This window comes from Homo sapiens, chromosome 16 (assembly GCF_000001405.40).
Source record: "Homo sapiens chromosome 16, GRCh38.p14 Primary Assembly".
NCBI classification, from domain to species: Eukaryota; Metazoa; Chordata; class Mammalia; order Primates; family Hominidae; genus Homo; species Homo sapiens.
Genome location: NC_000016.10, coordinates 24977740 through 25001154, shown reverse-complemented (window position 1 = coordinate 25001154; position 23415 = coordinate 24977740). Strand labels below are relative to the sequence as shown.

Genomic DNA, 23415 nt, shown 5'->3' with positions numbered 1-23415 from the left:
TTAGTTCAATGATTTCTTTTTCATCCCTTATTTAATTGGTTAGACTCCAAAATAGTGTGTAGCTGTATAAATGTTTATAGGAATATTGTGTAAAGGGCATATGATTCTACCTTTATTGGACATTTCAGGAACATGATAAGGACTATTTAAATCCTGCTAAAATACAAGTGTTGTAATATGAATTGTTCCCAATGGAAGTTTGCAAGCAACGTTCTCCTCATTTTCGAACCACACAACTTTTAGTGTGTCTGCTATTTGAGCTTTATTCTGTGTCTGTTTTGTGTCATGAGGTTGGCAGGTGATCTTAAATGCAGAATGCTGAATTTGTAGTAGTCCAACTATATGGAGAAAACAATTGCAATGCACTTTAGATTTAGGAACAAATTGGAGGAGAAAGTTGAGAAATGGTAAGAGGAGTTTTAATGGAGCGTATGTGGCAGTATGCTAATGTCACTTCTAAAGAAGAGGTGGTTAGCAGGTCACAAGGCAGTAGACTGAATTGTAGCCTCTGAATCTCAGGGCAGTCTTTAGGAATGGAAACCTTGCTGCCTGTAGATTTAGGTAGAGGTTTTAATAACCCCCCCGTTGCCAGAAAAAATCATCCACACACAGATTTGCCTATAATCTTATGGACTTCACAGACATCCTCAAGCGCATGGACAAAAACCCCAAGATTCAAGAAAAGCCGTCCACATGGTCGGCAGCTCAAGAAAGCCTGCCAGTTGTCCAAGCAATGCTTAGTTACAGTTCCCATGCTGGGAGCTGCTCTCTAGAGAAATGTTATTTGCAGATGTGCACCTCGTGCGTCTGTGTGTGTTGTTCTGCCTGTGTCCAAAATACATGCTTTTTCTAGATGGGAGCCTTTCCCCCACAAAGCAGAAATGTGTTCTGTCATGGGATTTGATGATCATCAAATTACTTTCCCTCAAGAATTGGCTTTCTTGGCGATTAGTTAATTCAGTTTTCAAAACTTTTAGATAAGGGCTTAATCAACGTAAAACTGCTTTGGGGCAGTTGCATTGTAGTAAAAAGTGTATTGGACTTGAGTCTGAGGGCTTGAGATCCTGTCTGTACTGTTTACTCGCTGTGTCTGTGACCTTGGTCCAATCAGCCACTCTGCTGTGTTCCTATACGTGAGAAACGGCTCCTGATACCACCAGGAGCAAGCTCTGCTGTGTTTAAGAAGGTGGTGTGTGCTAGGGAGGCGTCATGAGACAGTGAGGACATACAGTGTGACACAGCAGGTCAGCACTGGGGAAAATAGCCAGGTTAGCCTTCACTTCACTGCTCTATGCCAAAATACATTCCAAATGGGTTAAAGCTTTCATGTAAAAAATAAAACCACAAAATAAATACAAGAAAATATAGCTTATTGTGGAAAGTACTGCATGCTTTGGCATAAAAATGTGGAGAAAGAACAATAAAAGATAGCCTGTAGGTGGGACATGCGACTCCCACCTGTATCCCAGTTGTTAGGGAGGCGAGGCAGGAGGGTCATTTGAGGCCAGGAGTTTGAGCCCAGCCTGATTAACATAGTGAGGCCCGTGTCTGTAAAAGGAATTTTGGAAAAATTAGCTGGGTGAGGTGGCACACCCCTGTAGTCCCAGCTATTTCAGGAGGCTGAGATAGAAGAATCCTTAGAGCCCAGGAGCCGGAGCTGCAGTGAGTCATGATTGTGCCCCTGCAGTCCAGCCTGGGTGACAGAGTGAAACCCCATCTCTAAAAAATAAATAAATAAATAAATAAATAAATAAAACACCTGTAGATTTAACCACATAATAACTACACTTCTGTCTGTTTTATTATATCAAAGTTAAATTTAAAACGATGACTAATTGGAAAAAACTGAGAGCAACCACTACAGAGGTGAATATACTGAATGTATAAAGCTCTCTAGTAATTTTAAGAACTCCGCTCTAATGAGCAGATATCACAGACAGAAACTTCTCAGATGAAATACCGATGACCAGGAAATCTGTGAGACCACTTTAAAAAATTCGAAGTCATTGAAGAAATGCAAAGCTTCCAGGCTCCACTTTTCACTGATGAAATTGGCAGAGTTTGGGACAATGAGATGTTGCTGTCCCGGGAGTGTGGATGGGGCTGTGTCCTGTGATGGCGGTGGGCACTGGCACTCTTGTCCAGAAAGACATTCGCCACTGTGGTTCAAGAAGCACCTCAAAGGTCTTCACCTTGGTCCCTTGTCCACCTCTGCCCGCGGTCTCTCCTCCTTTCAGCCTCCTCTTTCCCACACAGTCCCTCCCGCCCTGGCTTGGTCCCCTTTCTTCTCTGATGGGGTCAGGCATGTGGGTGACTGACTTCCAAGGCTCTGTCTACCTGGCCTTTTTCTTTCACCTGTTCTGCGGAATAATAGCCTGATTCATTCCTCTTTTTGGGTCCTTCACTTCCATACCTGGGATTCGGGGCGTGGCCCAGAAAGACCCTGCAGTCGTGCAGTGTGGGGCTGCCAGCATTTCATGGCCTCCAAGCTCAGCTGGGCTGAATGAATGCTGCCGTCCAGCGCTTGGCTTAGTTTTCTGTCCCGTTTTCCTGAGTGCTTTTGCCAGACTTTCACTTTTCTGAAACCTACTTCACCCTACCCCAGACACCCACCCTCTCTCCTTGGATGACCTGCCTCCTAATTTCCTAAGAAAACTGGACATGGCCACCTTTCCCCAGTGTCTGAGGCCCAGGTTGACCCGTGGTCATGGTTGCCGTCACCACCCACCTGCCTGGACCCCACCCTCTGTCCAAGGCCCCGCCACCTGTGCCGCTGTCCTGGGCGCTGCCTTGCCAGCCTCCCCTCTGTGCCATGCACCTTTCACCTCCCTCCATCTGCTGCCTGTTTCTTCTTGGCTGCTCCTCATGGTCAGGCTTTTCTCAGCCCTCCCCTTCCTTCTGGGGCTTTGCGTCTTCCTCTGTCATCCACGCTCTGCGTCTTGGCTTCCCAGGACCCTCTCCTCCCACTTTCCTGTCCCTGACGTCCCTGTGCCCGGGGCCCAGTTTGCATCATCAGCCAGTCCCTCATCCATGCTTCACCCGCACCTCGCTCCTGGCTTCTTCCCTGCCCTCCCTGGGGACTCCTATCCTGTCCCCTGCCCTGGTTCTCCTTCCGCTGTGTCCCAGGGCCTCCATCCTCAGCCTCCGTCTTCTCTGCAGGGTCTGCTTCTGCATGAACTCCCCCAGATCCGTGTTTGCTGCTGGTCCTCACAGCAGGCTCTTCGTTTCTGGACCAGATGTCTTTTCTGTGCTTCAGAACCATCTAGAAAAAAGGGAACTGGATATCTCCACCTGAATGTTCAACAGGTCCCTTCACCCAGCATTTCCAGAGCTGACCTCATTGTACCTTCATATCCTCCCAGTGTTTCTCTTTTGGTGAGGAAAAACACACATTGTCCAGCCAGTCCCTCAAGGCAGAAACCTGGTGGTCATCCTCAGCTCCTCCCCCTCACTTCCTGTCCACCCCCAAGTCACCGAGTCCTGTTCCTTTCTCCTTTGCAGTGGCTCTCTGTGCCCTGCTCTACCTACCCACTATTTAGTGTGGGCTGTCCTCCATCTCACTTGGATCTCGTGTTTTGGGGACTCTTCAGATTCTCCTCCATGGCTTCCCTACCCGGCAGCATATCTTTCCCTCACATATTCCACACTGCAGCCAGAGGGATCTGCCAAAGAAATAATTGTGATAATGATAGAGAATGCGCATCTGGGTGTATACTGGGTGCCTTGCACTAGTCCAAGTGCTAATGACAGAGAATATATATCTGGGTGTGTACTGGGTGCCTTGCACCAGTCCAAGTGCTAATGACAGAATATGTGTCCGGGTGTGTACTGGGCGCCTTGCACCAGTCCAAGTGCTAATGATAGAGAATATGAGTCTGGGTGTGTACTGGGCGCCTTGCACCAGTCCAGGTGATAATGATAGAGAATGTGCATCTGGGTGTGTACTGGGCACCTTGCACCAGTCCATGTGCTAATGACAGAGAATATGTGTCTGGGTGTGTACTGGGCGCCTTGCACCAGTCCAAGTGCTAATGACAGAGAATATGCATCTGGATGTGTACTGGGCACCTTGCGCTAGTCCAAGTTGTGTATTGACTTGTTTAATACCCACCAGACCCTGTGAAGTCAGTATAGTGTTATCCCTTTTATAGGTGGGAACCAGAAGCACAGGGAGATTGAGTAACTTGTGTGACATGATTTCTCCATATTCTAGACAGAACAAAAACCATTTTTTTTTTTTTGGTTGTCCCTATGTTGCCCAGGCTTGTCTCCAACTCCTGGCCTCAAGCAATCCTCCTGCCTCGGCCTTCCAAAGTACTGGGATTACAGGTGTGAGCCACCATGCCAGGAATTTTTTGAGCTTTCTAGGAATCAGCACTTTGCTTATATTATCTCTTTCAATCTTTCCAATCTGTAAATTAGATATTCTTAATATCTCCATTTTTACGGGAAAGGAAATGGAGACACAGAGATTACCCCGCTCTTAGGTGGTGAACGGGGCTTTGACTCCCTGCATATTTGCTCTTAGCCACTTCACCCACCTACAAGGAGCTAGCACCTTGCTTGGGGTAGAGGGAGGGCACCTTCTGAACATGCTTTAGTGGGTGTTTTTCTGTTCTGCTTTCCGAGTTGTGGGTGGCAAAGGAGATGTGCATGCATAAGATGTTCTCATTACTAAGAGTGCTTCTGATGATAACAAAAGACCAATATCCTGTTGGAGCAATGTCCAGATATGATGAAATGCTAGATTTGCCTGGTAACGCTGAAGAAATTTTTTTATGAATGCTCCATCCCCAGAAGACTCTCGCTCCTGCCATTTGATCAGTTGATTTTATAATATGAGCATTGGTAAATTCTTAGGAATACAACTATCATAATAACATGTTATGGCACAACAAATTTAACTGTTACTCCACTGGTAGGTTCCTGAAATTATTGATGATAGGAAGATTCTTCAGTGCAGAGAGGGATTTAAGACGTTATGGGAGACATTTTAGTTAAGATGGTTGACTGAAGACATATTTATTTCCCTCCCCCCCCAAAAAAATAAAATTCACTGAAATGTTGGGAATTTTTTTTAAGTCTTAGAAGTTAAAAACCATTGTGCTGAAATCCCTGGTGTACTTATGAAGAAGTAGGTGGCTTGCACCTGTAGTCCCAGATACTGGAGAGGTTGAGGCGGGAGGATTGCTTGAGCCCAAGAGTTTGAAGTGAACCTGGACCACATAGCAAAGCCCTTGGTCTCTTAAAAAAAAGAGAAGAAAAAGTTGGTCTATAGAGAAGTAAAGTGAGTGCAGTTTTATTTGTTGGTTCATTGTCCAAGCCTGGTTTTCCTTTGTTTAAATGCATGTAACAGCCTTTCTGAAGATTTTTTTTTTTACATTTGCTGCCTGGTACTCATTTGAAGGCCCAGAGTCCGGCAGAGTTCCTTTCCGTGTTTTCCGCAGTCCTTCAGTTTGGTTCGCACACCTGATGGCCTAGAATTGGGCTGGCCCTTGGCTCTCCTGCCCACCCTGGTGGTGGATTGCCGCTGGCTCCTACTCAGTACAAGGCCCAGATACTGAAAACTTTCATTTAGTCACTTATGTATTCAGCAAATAAGTTTGCTCACAATCTTCAGCAGATCCCGTGTACCTGAGCTTAAATGGGGTGGGGTTCTCCCCCAGCCATGTCACCTGCCTCTGCTCCTCCCTGCTCTCTCTTCCCTCTCTTCTCCCTGACCTGGGTGCTCTTGTACTATCCAGCCTCTGGGTTTCCAACTCATCCAGTAGGTCTCAGAAGCCATCACCAGTTTCAGGATATCTTTCTGATATCCCAGGTCTGCATTCAGGCCCCTCCTGTCATGTCTGTAACCCGCAACAATTTAATGTGCTTCTCTGTGCCTAGGTTTCTAAATCTCTAAAATGGGTATGACATGGTTTGGCTGTGTCCCCACTCAAATCTCATCTTGAATTGTAGTTCCCATAATCCCCACGTGTCGTGGAAGGGATCCCATGGGAGGTAATTTAATTATCGGGCCATTACCCTTATGCTGTTCTAGTAATACTGAGTGAGTTCTCATGAGATCTCATGGTTTTATAAGTGACTTTTCCCCCTTTTGCTCGGCATTTCTCCTTGCTGATGCCATTTGAAGAAGGACGTGTTTGCTTCCCCTTCCACCATGATTGTAAGTTTCCTGAGGCCTCCCCAGCCCTGCGGAACTGAGTCAATTAAATCTCTTTCCTTTGTAAATTACAGAGACGTGGGTATGTCTTTATTAGCAATGTGAGAACAGACTAATACAGGTTATAATAGTGGTATCAGTCTCATGGTTGTCTTGAGGATTAGGTGGGTTAATACAAGTAAAGTGTGTATTAGGTGGTTAAGAACAGGGTCCCTGAAGTAATATTGCCGAGATTCAGAGCCTAGGTGGGAAACCCTGGGCAATCGCTTAAGTTCCCTGGGTGCATCAGTTTCTTCCTCTGTAACACGGGGGTAATAATACTTATCCCGTAGAGTTCAGTTCTTGCAAAGCACCTGGAACAGTGCTGAGCATGTGATATGAGCTCAATAAATGTGGGCTGTGGTGATAGTGACAACTCCCAGGGACCCTGCACTTCCCTGTTGGAACCGTCCTTGCACTGGAGTATAATGGCTTATTTTCCTTGATAGTCCTTGAGCTCTGGCAGAGCAGGGGCCCTATCTTACTCATGATGGCTCATGGAAGGGAACCCGAAAATATTTGTTCAGTGACTAACCAAATGAAAAGTTAGTGCAAAGTATGCATGACACCAGCCTGTGGTTGAATTTGTTGATGGGCTGTGTAGCTCCACTCAGTTAAGGCTTACTTATCCTGAATAGCTTTTTTGACAAAACACCTCATTAAAAAGCAATCAGATTTCTGTTTTAAGGTATTTACAGTGTCCTTTCATCCATCAGGCACTCCTTTCTTTGACCTTAGAAAAGGGCAAGTGGAGATTTAGGGTGTTCCCCACCCAGAATCTACCATCATCCCTCAAAAACTGCCTCGCCCTGACTTTCCAGGTGACTATTTTTTCTTCATTTTGTGCACCACGCTAAGCATGGAACTTCCTGGGCCACATCTGTGACGTGTGTTTATTGTAGAATTCCAGAGGAGCCACCATTATTCAGATTTTCAGCACTAGATGCCTGTTTAAACCGTGCAACATTTGTCATTTTTGGAGTTACAGTCCTACGTTTGCAAAGCCCAGTTTGGAAGGTTTCAAAATGTTCCCTCCTTTGCTATTTTGTTCTAGTCTCTTAAAAGTCCTGTGAGAATGTTGATGCAAATATAAATAAAGTAAGGGGCAGAAAGGTTAAGGGATGTATTTTTAGATGCTATGGTTAGTTTGTGGCGGAGTTAGGGTCAGAACATAGCTTGCAAATTTAAGAGAAATTTAACTTTGGTCCATGGCCTCGAAGGTACTCTTTCTGAAGGTTCAAAGACTGGTTCACATTGTGTAATTCACTTAATGGGTGTCTGCCTGCACACCCACGAAACAGGGATAATAAAAATTGCCCTGTATGGGTACATGTTTTTGCCCGTTACTTTTTTTTTTTTTTTTTGAGACAGAGTCTCACTCTATTGCCCATGCTGGAGTGCAGTGGTGCAATCTCAGCTCACTGCAACCTTCGCCTCCTGGGTTCAAGTGATTCTCCTCCCTCAGCCTCCTGAGTAGCTGAGATTACAGGTGCCTACCACCATGCCCAGCTAATTTTTTTTTGTATTTTAGTAGAAATGGGGTTTCACCATGTTGGTCAGGCTGGTTTTGAACACCTGACCTTAGGTGATCCGCCCACCTCGGCCTCCCAAAGTGCTGGGATTACAGGCGTGAGCCACCATGCCCGGCTGCCCATTACTTTTAATGGGAAAAGCCACAATTACTTTTGCACCAACCTATTATAATGAAATAATATAGGTAAAAGTGCTTTCATAACAGAAAATAATGTATAAATGCAAAATATTACTATTAATTTTTTTTTAAATTTTAGTATTGGAAATTTGGTGTTAAGAAACTCTTTTGGCTGGGCACAGTGGCTCATGCCTACAATGCCAGCACGTTAAGATTTTAGACCTTGTCTCCAAAAAAAGGATTTTAACTGAGGCAGGAGGATCACTTGCGGCGAGGAGTTTGAAACCAGTGTGGACAACATAGCGAGAACCTGTCTGTACAAAAAAATACAAAAATTAGATGAGTGTGGTGGTGTATGCCTGTAGTCTCAGCTACTTGGGAGGCTGAGACAGGAGGATTGCTGAGCCCAGGAGTTGGAGGCTAAAATAAGTTACGATCGCACCATTGCTTTCCACAGTCTGGGTGACAGACCCCATCTCTAAAAAATAAATAAACGGTAACAGAAACTTTTTTGATTACATGTTATGATCCACCAATTCCAGTTTCTATGTTTGATTACTTTCTTGAACAGGAGTACTGTATTTATGAATTTTTCTTGTACTTTTTTCAAGTTGGTAGTTTATAGTCAGATTCTACTGTACTCTTTCTGTTAAAATAGCTATGTGTTGGGCCAGGCACGGTGGCTCACGCCTGTAATCCCAACACTTTGGGAGGCCGAGGTGGGCGGATCATGAGGTCAGGAGATCGAGACCATCCTGGCCAACATGGTGAAACCCCATCTCTACTAAAAATACAAAAATTAGCCGGTCATGGTGGCGTGCGCCTGTAGTCCCAGCTACTCGGGAGGCTGAGGCACAAGAATCTCTTGAACCTGGGAGGTGGAGGTTGCAGTGAGTCAAGATTGTGCCACTGCACTCCAGCCTGGTGACAGAGCAAGACTCTGTCTCCAAAAAAAAGAAAAAGAAAAAGAAAAAATAGCTATGTGTCATTGGCCAGGATGACTATTTGGGCTCTGGGTCTGTGTTCTTGTCTCTCGTCTAGATATCCACAGAGGGCTCCAGGAGTTCCTACTTCCATCCTGCTATTCTACTTTTCATTCTGAAACTCAAACCTGTTGCCATTCCATTACTGAAAAACCATCAGTGGCTCCCTGTTGCCCCCGAGTTCCATGGCAGGCAAAGCCTTTCTCTGCAGCCACATCTCCACCTCCTGTTCTGTACCCTACTATGTACACACTCCTCCCCAAACCTTTTCTCCCCATGCCTGACTTATCTGAGGTCCACTTGGACTGTTTCCCTGCTTTCCTGGCCACACAGTTAATCACTCTTCTATCTGTGCCCCCAAAGTGTTTTCATTAAGGATGAGACCTTTTTTTCTCATGAGCTCCTCAAGGGTGGGGACTGTATCATTTCTGTCTCCTTTTTTCTTTCTCAGTTCCTGACATTTAGTGGGAACTCCGTAAATACCGTCTGAATGAACAAATATCTAAAATCTGAGGCTCTTGAAGTAAGTCCATCCTCGGATGGATGGTTTATACTTGGAGACTTGCTTTTGCTTCTCTGTGAATGCATGCTCAGCTGAGATCTGCTGGTGCAGGTGTTTCTATAGCTTCCTTAGCAGTGGTGGGAAGCCCAGCAGCTTAAGATGTTAGCTTCTGATGCAGGGTTTACTAACTCTCCACGTACTCTGTCCCTGAGTTTCTGTTTATTGTTTGCCTGTGATTCTCTTTGGTGCCATCCCACACGGTGTTGTCACAACCAACCCTTTGTTTTAATTGAACGTCCTGCGCTACTCCTGCTCTAACTCTGACTAGCTTTTTGTTTTTGTGTGGTCCAGGCTCGACTGTGACTTCTTCCAGAGAGAAGCTAGAACAGCTTGATAAATTTGGAAAGGTCATTCTTAGATAAGACTTGGGATTTATCTGAAGGTTGTTATTATTTGTTGTAATTCTCAGAACAGCTAACACTCCATGAACCCTCACTAGGTGCCACGAAACACGTTAAATGAAGTACATGAGATGGTGTTCCTAAACAACCACTATGGTGGTGGTATCATTATTATAATTTTATGGTTATAATTATTCCTATTTCACAGTGGAGGAAATGTTTCTTAGTAAGGTGCACATGTGAACGTCTAGCCTTGGGTTTCAAAGTCTGGTATGTTTGACTCCAGAGCCCTAACTCTTAGTTCTGACTGTATCCTACATTCTTATCCTTTGCTGAGAGTGAAACTTAGAATTGGGTATCACTCTGTTTTTTACAACTGAGTTTACTCTGTCTGTGAAGGCCGCAGCGTAAAGCCAGTTGTGAATCATGCACATCAGCTCCTTCTGAAATGTGTTTATGGCCTAGGACACAGGGACCCTGGAGACTATGGTGCTGCAGTGCATTATGGCTGCTACCCTTCTAGTCTGTCCTGCTGCTCGTTCTGCCACCTGCCAGCTGTTGCTACCTGAACCTTCTCCTTGCAGCAGTTCTCAGTGTTCTCTTTGCTTGGGAATTGCCTGGGGAGCTAAAAAAAAAAAAAAAAAGCCAAGCCCCACCTCCAGAGGTTCTAATTCATTTGTTTTAGGTTGGGGTCCAGGCATCAGTATTATTATTTTTGACAACCTTATGAGGGGTGTGTGTGTATTTGTGTTTTTGTGGGGGACATGGTCTCACTCTGTTGCCCAGGCTGGAGTGCAGTGGTGTGATCTTGGCTCACTGCAGTCTCCACTTCCCAGGCTCAAATGACCCTCCTACCTAAGCTTCCTAAGTAGCTGGACTACAAGTGCTCACCACCATGCCCAGCTAATTGTTTTAATTTTTTTTTTTTTTGAGACAAGATCTTGCTTTGATGCCCAGACTGGAGTGCAGTGGCACGATCGTGGCTCACTGAAGTCTTGACCTCCTGGGCTCAAACAATCCTCCCACTTCAACCTTCTGAGTAGCTGGGACTACAGGTGTGCACCACCATGCCTGGCTAAGTTTTTTATTTTTTGTATAGATGGAGGTGTCCCTGTCTTGCCCAGGCTGGTCTTGAACTCCTGGACTCAGGTGATTCTCCCACTTTGGCCTCCCAGAGTGCCGGGATTACAGGCATGAGCCACTGTGCCCAACCTATGAGATATATTTTATAGATCATAAAATTTACCCATTTTCCCCTTTTATCTTTAGTTGGCTGCAATGTTTGTACATATTTATGGGATATAGAGTGATATTCTGATATGTTTACAATGTGTAATGATCAAATCAGCATAATTATCGTATCCATCACCTTGAACGTTTGTGCCTGTATTGTGAACATTCAAAATCCTCTTCTAGATTTTTGAAAATACACACTAAGTTATTGTTAGTCATATTCACCCTACAGTGCTATAGAATACTAGAACTTATTCCTCCCATCTAGCTATAATTATTTATCCCTATCCATTAACCTCTCCCTATCTCTCCTCCACCCTATGCTTCCCAGCCTCTAATAACCACAATTCTACTCTCTACTTTTATGACGTTATTTTTTTTGGCTCCCACATATGAATGAGAACATGTGGTATATATCTTTCTGTGTCTGACATATTTCAAAAAATGTCTCATTTTAAGTGTAGAACTCAATGATTTGTAGTAAATTTACAGAGTTGTGTAACCATCACCACAACCCAATTGTAGAACATTTTTGTCACCCCAAATGAGAGCCTTCATACTTCTTTACAGTTAATCCCCATTCCCCCCACCCCCAAAGCCAACCACTCATCTACTTTCTGCCTCTATAGATTCCCGTTTTCTGGCCATTTCATATAAGTGGCATCACCTGTATTATTTTCAGAGCCTCCAGGACTGTCATGTGTAGCTCTGGTTAAGAACCACTGTTACCTCCTAGATCTTTTTCCACTAGTTTTTATTTTTACTATTTTTCTGAGTGGCTCAGAAAACTCAATAGGCCCCTGCCAGGGCTGTCTCTTAGATAATCTGTGAGCTAAATGAGTCCTTGTAAGTTGGACTGAGAACTTAACATTTACAACCTGTTTTTATGGGGATGAGCTTGTCAAAGTCCAAATGTGCTGACCTAGTTTGGAAGGGAGCCTGCACAACCTGTCTTCAGACGCTGTGCACCTCCCCAGCAGCCATCAGTCACAGCACTGAGTCAGAGCCCAGGTGTGGAGGGAGCCCCTGACATTGTGTGGCCTGGCCTTGGGCACTTTTGCTTTAGACTTTTTGTGTGGCTTTTCAGCTCCTCCTAGCCTCTGGCTGCCTCACCAGAGCAGTAAACTGGACTCCTCCTGAGCTCCTTTCCCTTAGGCAGTAGCTCTATGTGGATGTACTGTCTGCATTGCAATATTTTGCAAAATATTTCTCACATATTTTTGCCTGCTTAAATGAGTTTTAAAATCTCAAACTCAGCTGCCTCCAGGTCCAAGCAGGTACCATGAGTGACTGGAGCAGGCTGGGGAATAAGGCACTTGGAATGCCTGAGAGGCCGTTGAGGTGGTTGGTGGCAGAAGGGAGATTTCTTTCAGATTTTGCTATAAGCAAGAATCGGTGGTGGAGCTTTGAGACAGGCCACGTGGTTAGAGCAGGGATAGCAAATAGATTCCATTTCATGTGCCAGAGGGGAAAAAGCCAACTGACCGAACAAAACGCTGCGTGGGTAAGCTTACATGTGCAGGAAAACGATAAACCTCAATTCAATTTAGGGTAAAATGTAACTGTTCATCTTAGTCACTGGAATTCAAATAATATTATCAAGATTAAGTTAAGATTGAGAAGGCTTTTATTGTCATTTAAAGTAAAAATTAAATGTTATAACCCTGTCCTAGAGAAGCTGTAAATACATGGGCAAAATACCATCATTTGGGGAAATAATGCAGAGTATAGAACTATTAGATCTATTTTTCCCACGTCATTGCCAAAATATTTTCTGTTGAATCATTTCCCCCCGTTAAGTATCCTTTTTCTTTTCAGTGTTAGGCATGGGAACAATTTTTTCCCAATAACATCCCTTTAGAGTTCTGTAAACTCTCTTACGGCTTTTAAACTGCTTTGTGGCAGGTATAACAAATTGCTTCATTTTTAAAGTTTCAGAGAGTCGTTTATTTTAAAAATCCAATTAAGTAGATTTTAGATTCCTTCCCAGAAATCTAAGACGACAGCTAATCTAATGAGATAAAACAGTAAAAACTCATTCAGTAGTCCTCCAGCTCACTATGAAATCAAACTATTGCATCCAAACTGGGCTCAGAGGCTCAGGTGGATTTTGTAAACACTTGTAACGGGAGGTGACAGTGTTGCACAAAATCAGATTCCCAGCAGAATGAAATCCACTGCCTAGCCCTGGGTGGGCTCTGTAATTTCACTGTGAATACAAATCATGTTGCATGCAGTAATGTTTATGTTGTTACCCTACATACAATATTCAGATCCTTGGTAGATTAGTCACAGTCTGTCTTATTTCTCAAAAATGCGTCAGATATTTCCTGGTAACTAGCATTGAAAATGAGCTCATTAAAAATTCTCTCCATGCTTCATTTTTTCATTTTAATTGACGTATCAGTCAGTGTGCAAGTGTAAAAGCCAGCAGAACAGTGATCTCTCATGTGAAATTGTAAACCAAAAACCAACAGCCCTGTGAGCCCAGAGGCAGTGGGAGCCATTGATGTTTGATGCTAGTGTTGGCGCCTCGGCCACATATTTGCCATCCTTGGGTTGGGGGTGCTCTTGGTGGTAGAAAGATGAGCCCCTGCTCTCAAGGCCCCAGAATGGCTGAAAGGATTGAAAAGGAGCAATTTGGCAAAAGTCTTGAAAAGCCAGCGTCTCTCAACCTCTGAAATGCAAGTTGGGAAAACGTAGAAATCCCCCTTCTGAGTAAGAAGAATTTGGATTTGGGAAGTGATTAAAAAGGATTGAAGTTTCATGGGAAAATGGACTTCACTTGTACATAGATCAGGGGTCAGCAAACTCTGGTCTGTGGGCTAAATGCGGCTGCTGCAGGCTCAGAATGGTTTTGGCATTTTTAAATACTTGAAAACATTAAAAGAGGAACAGTAGTTCATGACGTACGATAATTAGGCAAAATTCACATTTCAGTGTCCATAAATAAAGGTTTATTGGGGCACAGCCAGGTCCGTTCATTTATACAATGTCTGTGGCAGCTTTTGTGCTGCAGTGGCAAGCTGAGTCATTACATAGAGACAGTATGGTCTGCAAGCCTGAAATGTTTATTGTTGCTGAACTCTTGGGTAGAGAACTGTGTTTATTTAGGTCTTGTCCCGAAATATGTTTATCAGTAGAGACCAGAAAGCAAACAGTGATTAAAATACTTCAGTGTTTTTGAGGAGGTGAGTGGATGGAGGTGCGTAGGTGCAGGAGGGACATAACTTCTGATTTCTTCCTGTCACCAGTGTCACCAGCACTGGGCTGTGCCTCCGCATTTGGACTGAATTATCAGAGGCAGCCACCCCTGTTCATTTTGGCAGCTGCTGCTTGCCTATGAGGCAGAATGTCGAGGAAGAGAAAATACACCTCCAGCCCAGCCTCACCCATCCTCAAAGTGATTCTAAAAAGTTAGCTATCAAGGTTTGCACCACATCCTGCAAGAGTTACTAATAGAGACCTGGGGTTGGCCAGCATTTTCTGTAAATGGCTGGATAACAAATATTTTGAGCTCTGCAGGTCATACGGTGATGTCTTTCGCAACAACTCAGTTCTGCTGTTGAAGCTCAAAAGCAGCCATAGATAGCACACAAATGCATGAGCCTGGCTGTGTTCCAGTGAAACTTCTGTAATACACTGAAATGTGAATTTCATAAAATTTTCATGTGTTACCAAATATTATTATTTTGTTTTTTTCCAATCATTTTAAAATAACCATTCTTCTGAGCTTTCTGAACATAAAAAATGGGCGGTGAGCTAGATTGAGCCTGCGGGTATAGTTTGCTGACCCCTGGTTTAGATAAACTAAGTGTAGGCCTTGCTAGTCAGGCCCTCTGGGTTTGAATCCCACAATCCCACTTATTAGTGCTGGGGTCCTAGGCAAGTTACCTTTCAAGACCTCACTTTCCTTATAGGTAAAATGGGGGAAATAGTGGTTCCTACCCAATAGGGTTGATGTGAGAATTAGAGTAGATGTAAGTGCCAGCCCAGTGTCTGGGGCATAGAAAGCACCCAGCAAATATGGCTGCTACTGTTGGCTATTATGAAGGCTCAAGTAGATCCCTACAGCCTTGGAGGAACCGTTTGTGATGTGGAGGTTTGACGGTCTTCAACTGTCTTCAGTCCACAGTTCAATTAGATTGAATATGAGGCTGGAGGGTTTGGTGGTGCTGCCTTGCTTTCGTGCAGTTAAGTAGAACATGGTATATCCACAGAATAGGTTAATGTACAGGCATAAAAAGGGAGGTGGTGGAGTTGTACATCTGTATTCTGACGTGTAAAAATGCCCCTCGTGTCTCTATCTACCTGTGTGCATCTGTGTGTGTGTGTATGGGTGTGCATGTATGTGTGTGTACGTATGTGTGTGTATGTGTGTCCTTTGAAATCAGCACTTCTCAGCCTTGGCACTGTTGACATTTGGACCTGAAGTAGGCAGAATAATGCTCTGCCCTCCCGAAACATGTCCAGATCCCCATCTCCAGAATCTCTGAATGTCTTAGATTACATGGCAGAGGGGGACTAAGTTTGGAGATGGGATTAAAATTTCTAATCAGTGGAAAGGGAGATTAGCCTGGACTAGCCAGGTGGGCCCAGTGTAATCACAGAGGTCCTTAGCAGTGGAAGAGGGAGGTCGCAGAGTCAGAGGAAGAGGTGACTGTGGCAGAGAGGCCCAGAGTGAACCATACTGGCTTTGACAGTGCAGGAGGAGGCCAAGGAATGCGGTAGACTCAAGAAGCTGGAAAGGGCGAGGAAGCAGATGCTCCCCTTGCATGTCCAGGAAGGCATTCAGCCCTGCTGCCACCTTGATCGTAGTCCAGGGAGACCTGGTTGGAAGTGCTGAACTCAAGAAGTGTGATATAATATACTTGTGTTGTTCAAGCCACTGAGTTTGTGGTGATTTGTTACAGCAGCAATAGGAAACAAATCCAGGGCTGGATCATTCCTTGTTCATAATTCTTTATATTATTTAGTGTGTGTGTGTGTGTGTGGGGTTGCATTTAGGATAGTCAGTAGCATCCTGGCCTCTAGCCTACAGAGACCAGTAGCATCTCCCATCATGACAACCACAAATGTCCCCAGACATTGCCAAATGTCCTCTGGGGACACAGTTGCCTCCAGTTGAGAAGCACTAGTTTAAATTTAGAAAACAAATTGGGAAGGATATATAACAAATTCGTAACAGTACCCTTTGGGATATGGGATTGGAGGAATGGCTTTCACTCCTCTTTTAACATAAAATTTTTAAAACTGGATTTTGCCTCCCCCTACAGACATTTTTTTTTTATTTTCAACTGTGGTTTTTTTTCCCATTTTATAAAAAGATTAACCTTGAAAGGTAATATCACATTTCAATTTTAGTCATTATGGATTTTACTGTGGAAGGCAGTTCTATACACCTATGGCTGCTTTTCAACCTAGTTTTATTGGATTTTGTTTGACATTGTGAATGTCCTTTTTCCCAAAGATGTGATAGACATCCATTCATTCATTCAGTGTGTATTTCTTTTTTTTTTTTGAGACGGAGTCTTGCTCTGTCGCCCAGGCTGGAGTGCAGTGGCGCAATTTCAATCTCAGCTCACTGCAAACTCCGCCTCCCGGGATCACACCATTCTCCTGCCTCAGCCTCCCGAGTAGCTGGGACTACAGGTGCCTGCCACTGCCTGGCTAATTTTTTTTTTGTATTTTTAGTAGAGACGGGGTTTCACCGTGGTCTCGATCTCCTGACCTCGTGATCCGCCTGCCTTGGCTTCCCAAACTGCTGGGATTACAGGCGTGAGCCACTGCGCCCGGCCTCAGTATGTATTTAAGTGGCAGGAAGGTGCTGAGCTTGCCGCTGGGGAGGAGTGATGACTTTAGAGCTCTCTCTCTGCCCTCATGGAACCTGCTGTCTAGCAGGGAGGAGGACGGTAGTGCTCATTGTTTGGAAGACCACAGCCTGCATTGATCGCGGGGACTTGAGCATTCGTGTCCATGGTTTGGGAGTCCCTGGCTCCCATAGTACATGTTTTATGAAGGAAACTACCAGAAATCCATGATTAGAGATGGAAAATATCAGACCAATTGGAAATTTTCCTTTGACTCTCACCTGGTCTGAGCATCTTCTGTCTTTTTGGTACAGTGAACTACTCCAGATTGAAAACATTTCTGTTTTCTCCTTGCCTGGCAAGTGAGCTCAGTGAAACATCCTATTAGCCACACTGCAGGGTTGGACATTGCCACACCAGGTCAAGGGAAAGTGGCACTATGAAGGCCTGGGCAGCACTGCTGCTTTGAGAATTACGAGGAGAAAATCTGTGCTTTACCAAAAAGTAAATTAAAGATCCTGCCTGGTATCAGCCTTGCTTGAGTGACTAGTAAAATTGCAGAATAGCTTCATAGGAAAAAACAAACCCCAGAGTAAAATGGCGAGTGGGAAGTTCCTTCCTGATTCGTATTGTTTTTCCAGTTGCAGACAGGAAACATTCAAGTGTGTTTTCAAGCCCAGAACGTTGGACACAAAGAAGGCTCTGACAAAGCAGAAAAAACCCATATACAAAAAGTTTAGGAACATGGAGCAAAATGTCTGATTCAAAACAATCTAGGCTGGGCGCAGTGGCTCACGCCTAGCACTTTGGGAGTTGGAGGCGGGAGGATGGCTTGAGCTCAGGAGTTTGAGACCAGCCTGGGCAATGTAGTGAGAATCCATCTCTATAAAAAAAATTTTAAAAATTACCTGGGCATGATGGTGCGCATCTCTCGTCCCAGCTACTTGGAAGGCTGAGGTGGGAGGATAGCTTGAACCTAGGAGTTCAAGGCTGCTGTGAGCTGTGATCAGGCCACTGCACTCAGCATGGGAGGTAGAGCAAAACCTTGTCTTAAAAAAAAAAAAATCTGGCCGCGTACGGTGGCTCATGCCTATAATCCCAGCACTCTGGGAGACCAAGGCAGCCAGATCGCTTGAGCTCAGGAATTTGAGACCAGCCTGGCCAACATGGTGAAACCCTGTCTCTACTAAAAATAGAAAAATTAGCTGAGCGTGGTGGTGTATGCCTGTAGTCTCAGCTACCTGGTAGGCTGAGGTGGGAGTATCACTAGAGCCCAAGAAGCAGAGATTGCAGTGATCTGAGATTGTGGCACTGCACTCCAGCCTGGGTGACAGAACGAGACCCTGTCTCAAAAAAAAAAAAAAAAAAAAAAAAAATATATATATATATATATATATATATATATATGATTTATCAAGTATTATTTTTTATGATTGGATCACTTTGTCTACTGTTTTTTTTTTGTCTATAGATGTCTTGACGAATTCAGTCTCTTGCCCCCTGCCTTGCTTTAATAAATTACAAAAACTCAACCAAAGATAACACTTCTCAGAAAAAACCAGCACATTTCTGTGGCCTACGTACATGGCCTATTGAATGGCCTATTGAATGGGCACCTTGGCCGATAGTGGAATAATTGCTGGACTTTCCATATCTCTGGTAAAGGTGAACACTGCAAAACAGTTCACGATAGGAAGCACCAAGGCTTGGACCAGTCACAGTGATGAGGGAGATCAGGTCATTTGGACCACATTATTGGAATAGATGGAGACAGTACCAAGGCCTGAAAATTAAGATGGAGAGTCCACAGGCCAGCAAAGAATCTTTGTGTGAGGGAGCCATTCCAGTTTGTGTATTATACTCCATAGTCATGATTTGTCACTTAAAAGTAATTCTTCCCAATTATAGATCACTTTTAATCTCTAGTTGGGTTTGGATTTTTTTCTACACATTTTTTTTTTGTTTTTTTGAGACAGAGTCTTGCTCTGTTGCCTAGTCTGGAGTGCAGTGGCACGATCTTGGCTCACTGCAACCTCCGCCTCCCAGGTTCAAGCAATTCTCGTGCCTCAACCTCCCAGGTAGCTGGGACTACAGGTGTGTGGCACCACATCTGGCTAATTTTTGTATTTTTAGTAGAGATGAGGTTTTGCCATGTTGACCAGGCTGGTCTTGAACTTCTGACCTCAAGTGATCCACCCACCTTGGCTTCCCAAAGTGCTGGGATTATAGGCGTGAGCCACCACCCCCAACCTCTAAAATTGATTTAAAAAAAAAAAATCTAAGCCTGCAAATCTAAAATTGATTTTATTAATGTAATATATATATAGCCTCCACAAACACAGGAAACAAAGGGGAAATTTCTTTTTAAACAGTACATTAACATTTTCATATAATATATTCAATATAGTTTTCAGCCTCCAGACCTTTTCATGTAAAGTACCTCTAAAGCAGAGGGTCCAGTTAATTTGAAAAAAATGGCTGGAAATACACTGATTTTCTTTACATTTTAGATACTCTGAGGTATGTTTTCTGTTGTGCATTTGTAGAGCTTGACATTGGACCAATTCTTTAAGTTAGGCACACTTCACCCCTGGCCATATCAATCAAGCATGCTACTTAAAAGTGTAAGTAACATGCTATTTTTAAAAAACCTCAAAACTGTGATTCATGTAGTTTAAAAAGTCAAATAATATAGTAAAAGACTTACCACAAAATACGGTGGGTTCACTCCCTACTCTCTGAGATTTCCCAACTCCAGAAGCAACTACTTTGAAATATTAACAGTTTATTGTGACATTTATTCATATTCATAATTATAAGTAATATGTGTAAACTATCGTTTGGGTTATCAAATTAGTTACTGTCTGTTGACTTTCTGTTCTGATAAATGAGGGTTTAGGGCCCTTTCCCTCTGCTTCTGCTCCCCCCATCCTTTCAATACAGTTATAATTTTTCATTGTATTACTATTTGATATTTATATTATGTCCAATCAATTATTTGCAGCTGAGCATACTAGTTACTATGACTATCTTTATGTTTCCAGTGGACTTTTTGTTTTTCCTGAAGTTAATACTTGCCTCGTTTTTATGTTTGCTTTATTTTCTTTGTGGCTGTTGCAGCACTGTGCTCATAACTGTTTAACAACTGCCAAGCTCCTATTTGAATTGTTTGCAGTTGTTTATGTTTTTGATTTCAAGTACCAGTGTGAGGTTACTGAGCAAGGAGTTGGGAGAAGATGCACATGGTTGGTTGGTCTGAGTTGGCTCTAGCATACCTCTGAGCTATTACTAACTTTCCCACATCTGCTTATAGCCCACATTGGGATTGTAGAGCAAGTTCTTCTCTTCTTCTGTTATTTTTTAAAAAATAATTTGCTCTGAAAAAGGACATATTTGTTCTGATTCTCAGGTTGAATCTCTTTTTTTGAACTTGTGAAAATTTTAATAGGCCTTGAGACTTCTCTGTGTATACTCGTACTTACAGAAGGAAGTCATTTTAGAGTTGAGGTGGATTCTGTGAGAGGTATACAGGGCCCTGTCCAGATTTGGGGGTTTTGGCTAGGGAAGAAAGGCAAAAGTTACCCATTCCCTGGTGGCATTTTGCTAAAGGAGGGATGAGGCATTGGCGAGAGGAATGGGGGCGTCTAATGGTGAAACTATGACGATCTCATGCCAGGTGTGTTCTTGCTAGGCTGACTGTCAGGTTTCTTTTTGAGTCTGGTTCTTTGACCTCATGGTCAGCTGGGGCCCTGCTTCCCTTCCCTAACTGGTATGACTACCTGTGTTTGGCTCTTCAGCAATGCCTGGCACCTTGCTTGCCAAGCAAGGTCTAGGGTAGCATATGTTGGCCTGTTGCTGGTGGAACCTTTTCATAGAGTTGAAAATTGGCTGCCTCTGGAAGCTGGGGCCTTGGCTTTGTCTCTAGGCCCTGATCCTCTGGCCCTGGGAAGTATTTGAGTCAGGTCAGCATTCCAGTTTCCTGCAGAAACTGGTGAGTGAGCCACCCTGTAGGCATCTCCAGGTTGACTGGGACAGTGCCATGATGACAAGTGTTAGAATCCCCCATGGCAATGCCCTGTTCTGGCTAACGTGCCATTGCCTTAAGTGTAGACTGGAGGAGCTGTGCGCTTCTTTCCCTTGCCCACAGTTGGCACTACTCTGAGCTTAGCAGCATTTCGAGGTCATTCTAGGGGTCTCATTTACTTTCTGGCCCAAGAGCTTTTCCTGCTCTTGCATTGGTTCCCGGCCAAGATCATACAATCCCTGTTCTGAATTTCCGGTTCATTGACAGCCTTCCCCTGACTCCCTTCACTGTTCAGAGCTGAAACATACTTTTTCTTTCTCTTTTAAAAATTTCCTTCACGCCAGGCGCGGTGGCTCACGCATGTAATCCCAGCACTTTGGGAGGCCAAGGTGGGCGGATTACTTGAGGTCAGGAGTTCGGGACCAGCCTGGCCAACATGGCAAAACCCTGTCTCTTCTAAAAATACAAAAATTAGCTGGGCGAAGTGGCACGTGCCTATAATTCCAGCTACTCGGGAGGCTAAGGCACGAGAATCGCTTGAATCCGGGAGGTGGAGGTTGCAGTGAGCTGAGATCACACCACTGCAGTCCAGTCTGGGCAACAGAATGAGACTCTGTCTCAAATAATAATAATAATAATAATAAAATAAAAATTATTATGGTCTGACAGTTGAGACTCCGCCAGCTCGGAATGCCCCCTTCTGATTGCTGGCCACCGTGTTGGTTTAATGGAAGGGTTGATGAAATTAGTAGTAGTTCAAAGCATAGCAGAGAAAGTTGTGGAAACACTTAGTTTCTTTTCAAAGTAAGGATGGAGAGGAAATTTGAAGGAGGAACTAATTGTTATTGTGTGTGGTGGTCTAGGCTTGCATCTTTGCATAACGTTTCTGGTTGTGAACTGAAGTTTAAGCTTCTGTAGAACAGTGTTTTCTCAAAGCCATGTCTCTAGACCTCCTGCAATGGAATTCTGAGCAAGGAGTGGCTGTTAAAAATGCAGGGTCTATTGAATTAGAATAGAATATCCAGAGGGACCTGGGAAATGGCATTTTATATCAGCACCTGCTGCCCTTGGTGATTCTGTGCCTGCTCAAATTTGAGAACCACTACTCAGGATCATTTGTTCTTGTTTTGGGCTGCTATTCCCCACAAAGTTTTGCTTAGTTATTTTTCTTTGGTTTTGCTTAAATTGCTCTCTGATGTAAAAATTGGTAAACTGCCCCTGCCAACCCTTCTAAATTTATTTCTGCCTGTTTTGCTTTAAACTCCAGGCTAATAATTATTAAATTTTAGGAGTTGCCTTTCATTTTTGGATTTCTAACTCTGAATTTTTAATTTTTCCCACAGAGCTGAGAAAACAGAAGTCCTTAGTGAAGATCTATTACAGGTAACAAAATATAGTCTCCTTTAAATGATCTGTTTAAAGGATGGAAAAAAATTCCTATGTGAGAATTGAGGCCTGTGGGCTTTTTTTTTTTTTTTTTTTAACCAGAAACAGAATAAAATTAATTAGTGTGATTTTGAGCAGGAAAGAAAACAGTTTTGTTGCATGATGATGAAAAGGGGATCTGAAACCCAGCTACCTGGGTTCGAATCTCACGTCTGCGCTGGTTAGCTTTGTGGCCTCAGGGATTTACTGAACTTCCCTGCGCCTCAGTTTCCACTTCTCTAAACTGAGGGAAAGGCCTTATCCACCTCACAGGTTGTTAGGAGGGTTTAATGAGTTAAGCAGGAACAGCACTGGGAACGGAGCCTGGCACGTGGTAAGTGCTAGATATTAGTGATCTATTATTATTACTGCCACTGCAAGCCACAGAGACTGTCTGTTTCTGACGTGAAACATCCCTTGATTTGCCCTGTGTTCTTCTGCCTTTTTTTCAGTCTCTGTTAGAGCAGTTGTGTGGCATTTCCCCAGGGGGCTGTGCATCCCAGCGGGGCAGAACCAGCATTTATTTGCTGTTGATTCTTGAATACCTTGCACAGGAACTCAGTAGACATGGGCCCTCTCAACGAATATTAAATGAGCACCTTCTGTTTCTGTGAAAGATAACGTCCCAGGCACTGGGAGAAATCAGTGAACAAAACAGATCCAGGCTTCTGTCCTTGTGGAGTTTACATTCTAGTGGAAATTGGAATCAAAATTAAATCATGGAATTTGTTCATTTTTTGCTTTTCTCTGGTGGCAAATGAATGTGGATTAGTTTTCTAATGTTTGAAAATCTGGTCATTGCAAGATTTGGGGAAGGTAATGTGGAATCTGCTCCTAAATCTCCCATTGCCTGCCAGCCCTGAGTCCTGGGGCTATGGGCTTGGATCTGAAGAAACGCTGCCCTTTTGAGAAAGAGGCACAGACCATCTCGATGCGTAAAATGGTTTGGGGTCAAATGTATTCTGTTTTGAATTTGTTGATTTATCTTTAAAATAGAAAGCATCCCAAAGGGCCTGCTCTCATTCTTCATGAGTCATCAGAATACACATTTTTGGCATTCCTTCCTGTAAAAAGCGGCTCTCTTTGCCATAAACAGCCATATTCTAGCAATAGTATTTTGGGAAGCTGCTTATGATGCGTGGGTCCCCTAAGTCAGTGTTTCTTATTGCTGACTGTCCATTCTG

The 23415-nt window shown here is 43.8% G+C and overlaps 1 protein-coding gene across 18 annotated transcripts in view, besides 1 other annotated feature; it reads left to right on the top strand.

The window, feature by feature from the left end:
- Positions 1-23415, top strand: part of ARHGAP17 (Rho GTPase activating protein 17) — a 95981-nt gene that overhangs the window by 14215 nt on the left and 58351 nt on the right. For all 18 annotated transcript variants that reach the window (XR_950809.3, NM_018054.6, XM_047434318.1 and 15 more), the window contains exon 2: positions 22150-22189. Coding sequence is in view for 16 of the 18 variants with exons in the window: in NM_018054.6 (NP_060524.4) it covers positions 22150-22189 (40 nt within the window). In the remaining 2 variants the exon portion in view is untranslated. The remainder of the gene's footprint in view (positions 1-22149; positions 22190-23415) is intronic.
- Positions 12104-12707: an enhancer, noted in NCBI's record as "H3K27ac-H3K4me1 hESC enhancer chr16:24999769-25000372 (GRCh37/hg19 assembly coordinates)". NCBI's record gives its function as "activates a minimal SCP1, AML or CMV promoter by ChIP-STARR-seq in naive H9 embryonic stem cells {active_cell/tissue: H9 hESC(naive)}" and the evidence as "EXISTENCE:reporter gene assay evidence [ECO:0000049][PMID:30033119]".